This window comes from Homo sapiens, chromosome 16, assembly GCF_000001405.40.
Source record: "Homo sapiens chromosome 16, GRCh38.p14 Primary Assembly".
Lineage (NCBI taxonomy): Eukaryota > Metazoa > Chordata > Mammalia > Primates > Hominidae > Homo > Homo sapiens.
The window spans coordinates 17574441-17579834 of NC_000016.10; the positions used below are offsets into that span (position 1 = coordinate 17574441).

A 5394-nucleotide genomic window follows, 5' to 3' on the forward strand; every position below is an offset into this window, starting at 1 on the left:
GTAGGATGAAGGGGAGCCTGCATCTCACTGCTTCCCTCAAAACAAAGTTTTGGATGTTTTTGGTCATTCCCTCTGGGTTCTCAGTGCCTGGTGGATTCCATCGACAATGGATGTTAAATCCATCCTCTGGGGAAAGGAAGTGCTTGCAGATATTGAACGTGGACCTCAGAGTCTCTAATGTGATGAGAGATTGCAACCAACTGGCTTCTGCCTTTTAAGAGGCCCTGAATCCAGGCCGTCTGGAAATTAAATAGGGAGCCCAGCTCACTGCTACAGCTTGTCAGTGTGATTGCCACCCACGATTGGCTCTGAGCATCTCTTCTAAAACATGCCAGCAACTGTGTCTTTATTTTGTTGATGCAAGTCCAGATGCTGGTTTGAAGGAGGTAAGCTTTGTTTCTGAGCCCCTATAGCGCACTCTTCACAGCATTCAGAAAGAGAACCAATGCCTTGGGTGTGATCTCCATGACCCTGCATGACCCAACCCCTTCATCACCTTTCTGACCTCACCTCCCCAACGTTCCCTCCATTCCAACCCCTCTGGCCTCCTCATAATCCCTTGAACATAGCAGACAGTCTCCCACCTCAGGGTCTCTGAACTTACTGTTTCCTCTGCTTGAAATTCTCCTCCTGCAGATACATGCACATCCTCAGATCTCACCTCGAAAATTACCTTCCCTGGCAGCCCTACATTTTTAAACTGCCCATGGCTTCCTAGCTCCCTGGTCTACTTTACTTTCTTCCCGCCTAAGCATTTATTCCTACTGAATGCAGTATATAAGTTACTGGTTTATCTTGTGCCTTATCTGTCTGTCTCTAATTACAATGAATGCTCCATGAAGGCAGAGCTTTGGTCTATTCCATTCTGTACTCAATCCCCAGTGCCTAGGACAGAGCCTGGGATATGGCAGGCCCATCACAAACATGTGTTAAATGAACTGATAAAGTAATAAACAGAAATGTGCATTTGGCAATTTGAAAAGCTGAAAGTGTGGCATAGTCTAAGTTGGGCAATCTATGGAGAATTGGGGCTAAAGTTAACTCGGTTTCATTTCCATAAGGACCCCCTACCCCACCCTGTACCTGTTATAATAGGCCCACACTCGTTTACAAGGAAGCCGGTGCCAGGAGCTCCCTGGGGATGGGATGCCTGTCTCCTGTTAGGTGGCAGCTTGACCAAAGCCACAGATGGTGCCCCAGGGCCATTTGCATCAACCTGGCATTCAAGGCCCTGCCCAGCCTGACATGGATCAGCCTTTATAGCTATGTTTCCAATAGTCTTCCATTTTGTATTCATTCACCCAACAACATGTGTCCAGTTTTATCTTAAATCATTCCAATTTGCATTCAACCCCATTAGATAGTCTTGCTTGGGAGAATAGTAAAAGAACATTTTTGTTTTTGCAACTCTTTTAGCTCAACTTTGTGGTCAGGAAGTTCCACAGATTCACGGGTTCAGCTTTCCCTCTCCAGGGCTTTCTCTACATCAAGGGCCCTTGAGTCAACTAAGAATGACTGAGTTTTCTTTGATGGCATTTGTTCAACATCACGCAAAGCATAATCCTGGAGTCCAGTAGAAGAAGTAGTATCTAGCCTGTCATTTAACCCACAATGCATAATTGGTATATCCACCATATAAACACATTAACACATACCCAAATATAACACACAGATATGCAAAAGCAAACACATACAATGTAAGAAATAAACATGTAAACACACACACAACTGTAGACACATATGAGTCAAACACCTGTAAACAAAATTTCTTGATCTAAATTCAGTGAAGCTTTCCATGTTGTTTAGACTGTCCTGGAAGATAACACTGAAAGGCACCAACAGCTTCTGCTTAAGGGATGAGATGTGGATTCTTTACCCTAATAGGTAGTTCTTTTCCTTTTTCTTTCCTTAGAATTGGCTGTTTTGACCAATCAAACTCTTGGCTTGGTTTTGTGTTGAAATGATCATAGCTCAACCTTAGACCAGGCTGTTCTGATATGCCCTTACTTTATCAAATTGTTAGCTAAGGATTATTATAGAGATTCTTTTAAGGAGAAGTGTTTGCATTGGGCATGTGCTGCGGGTATGCTGGGAAATAAGTATATTCTGGGCTCTGCTTTGAGAAGCAAAAGGTGATCATAGGTGGGGAAAAATCAAAGGAGGAACATTCTATAATCCTTTTTATTTTTTTGATCCTTGAACTCCTTGAAACTGGGATAAATGTTCTAAGGGCAGTTCCCCTGATAGTACAAAATTACCATAACTGATCTCACAAAGGAAGATAAATAAGAAAACACATTTGTTTCAAGGGAGCCAGGGAGAAGGTATCTTTTTACCTTCTTTCTCTCTCTAGCCTGTTGTATTCTCCCCCTGTTCTAGCTGTTTCTTGCTGGAAACAATCTCAAAAAGGCTTTCTCTATCCAGTATGGAATGATTTATCTTAGTCTTGGAATTCTGGGATAAAATGTGCATATATGCATACATGTGTACACACACACATACGCACATACACACATGGGACCTAAAGTTTCAGGAAAGGTTTTTATTTTATTTTTTAAATGAAAAGCAATGTGACACTACTTTCAAACTGGTTTATAAGAGGCACATCAATCCAGTTGTGAACTGAGAACTTTTTAAGGGAAGGAGAAATTGTTCCCGTTAAGCCCTAAAACAGTATTCTTTCCCATTGATCATCTAAACCAATTTGCTTTATATTGAATAGCTGTATTAGGAAAAAAAAGTCAGCTGTTGATACCCTCCAATGTCAGCTAGATGGATTTTTTTCCCTCAACATAAGGTGCAGTTGTAGTTTTCCTCAATCTCATAATTAAAAAAAGGTGATAAGCTATTTGTTCTGAATCAATTCACTTAGATTTTAAGGAGCATAATGGAACGTCTGTTGTTCCTGAAATAAACAGCACAATCTCGAGTACTCAGACAGCTTGCCTAAGGTGGTAGGAATACTATGTTTTTGTCCTACCAAGGTTCTTTACCCGGGGCTCCCTGACCCAGAAGACCTGTGCATAAAATTCAGGGCTGTGTGACTTGGATGGGGAAAATGTGCATATCAGTTTTAACTAATTTCCACCTCAAATGCAGCGTTTCAGTTAATTATGAATATAAGCAAAATTGACAGCAATATTAATGACTTTGCACCTATGGTAACCACAGATAGTTTATGTTAGATTACAGACTTCTTTTGTAAAATCGGATATAGTCTATTTCACATGCATTTAGAAACATCATTTTAAGAAGGGGGTCCTTGGGCTTCCTCAGACTGCAAAAGTCACCATGACCCTGTAAGTGTTAAGACCCCTTCTCCAGGAGACCTGGGTCATTAGTAAAGGTCATGATCCAGCACAGGCTGTGAAGGTGCATGGCATCCCATCACCAGGAAACTCTTTTTTTGTCGGGGGCCTTGAACCTTCTCACTCATCCAGCAAAATGCTCACTCTAATGCCCCAGGGTGGAATCTGTCATTACTGTATGTATTTAAGCTTCTTCAGATTAGCGGCAGAGGTGAAGGAGAAAGAGGAAAAAGAGATCACATACCACTCCTCCATCTCTTCACATATTTTAATTTAAATATGGAATCATACTCTATGTCAGTATTTTGTAAACTTTTCTTTTCTGTTTTTGAAACAGGGTCTTGCTCTGTTGCCCAAGCTGGAGTGCAGTGGTGCAATCATAGCTCACAGCAACCTCTCTCTCCCAGGTTCAAGGGGTCCTCTTACCTCAGCCTCCCAAGTAGCTGGGACAACAGACGTGTGCCATCACATCCAGCTAATATTTGTATGATTATGATTATGATTTCTTTATAGAGATGGGGACTCATCAGGCTGGTCTCAAACTCCTGGGCTCAAGTGATCCTCCCACCTAGGCCTCCCAAAGTGTTGGGATTAGAGGAGTGAGCCACCACGCCCAGCCTGAAATCTTTTTCTTCCTAATTTTTTAATTTTTTGAGACAGAGTCTCCCTCTGTTGCCCAGGCTGGAGTGCAGTGGTGTGATCTTGACTCACTGCAACCTCCACCTCCTGGGTTCAAGCCATTCTCCTGCCTCAGCCTCCCGAATAGCTGGGATTACAGTTACGCACCACTATGCCTGGCTAATTTTTATATTTTTACTAGAGACAGGGTTTCACCATGTTGGCCAGGATGGTCTCAAACTCCTGACTTCAAGTGATCTGCCCACCTCAGCCTCCCAAAGTGTTGGGATTATAGGTGTGAGCCACTGTGCCCAGCCTGTAATCTTTTTCTTCTTAATATTTTGATAGCACACCTTGATGGAGCTCTTTCTGTGTCCCAAGCAACATTCTAAGCGCTTGGCCTGTGTTATCTCATTTCCTTCTCACAACCACTCTTGGCAGGGGGTACTCTTCTGACCTCTCATAAATGTTGGCTAAATGAATAATAGCTGTCTCTTATTGAAGACTTACCATGTGCCAGGAGCTATTCTCAGAGTTCTGTACATGGTCTCATCTATTCTTCCCCAAAGCCCACAGCTAGGTTTTATTATTTTTACATTTTATAGATAAGGGAACTGAGGCACAGAGAGATTAAGCACCTTGCCCAAGATCACACAGCTGGTAGGTCACCAGTAGAAACCTCTGGATATCAGTGGAGACAGTCTGACTGCAGAGAGGTGTTGTTAACCAGCAGGCAGTCCCACCCTCTATGATGAACTTTTGTCATGGTGATTGTTTGAGCATGCTTTAGTTTGTAAGGTTGCCACATCATTCCTGGAATAGGAGATAGCTTTTTCTTTCGCATAGATGGATACTGAAATCACTCTATATCAGTATTTTGAAAAATTTTGGTGACTCTACCCTCACCATAGCATCATTTCTTGAGAAAAAGAAGAGAAATAAACGAAGCAGCAGCACGAGCAGTTTCTCTTCCTACTGGTCTGTAATCTGGCCACGACTTTAGGCTGTGGCTGAAATTCCTGACCTTAAATTCCAGCAGCCTCTGATTGAGGGCACCCACTCAGTCAAGCTCCCTTCTTGGAAACAGTCAAACGCCATCTAGTGACTGAATGCAGAATCGCATACTCCTTTCAGCCAGGAAGGGAGACCATGGAGGGGGAGCCAGGCTGGGTCAGGAAGAGGAAACCCTCTCTGGGCTGGTAAAGTTGAAAGCAAGGAAATCACTGAGCCCCGAGGAACTGCACCAGCATCTGGATAAAAACCCTTCAGTCTTCACTGTGAACACATCTGGTTAGTTGATGAAACTGTTTTCACAGTACATCTGGCTGGATAGATACAACCACACAGCCACCACCACAGGCTCGTATTAACTGAGCAGTTTCTTCCCAGCAAAACTAACTGCCTGGAAAAAAAACGCATGAACAAAACATATTTGTAATTTGTCAAATCTAAATAATACCAATAGCTC

At 42.7% G+C, this 5394-nt stretch overlaps 1 annotated feature.

Annotated features, from left to right (window-relative positions):
- Positions 4421 to 4922: an enhancer, noted in NCBI's record as "NANOG hESC enhancer chr16:17672718-17673219 (GRCh37/hg19 assembly coordinates)". NCBI's record gives its function as "activates a minimal SCP1, AML or CMV promoter by ChIP-STARR-seq in naive H9 embryonic stem cells {active_cell/tissue: H9 hESC(naive)}" and the evidence as "EXISTENCE:reporter gene assay evidence [ECO:0000049][PMID:30033119]".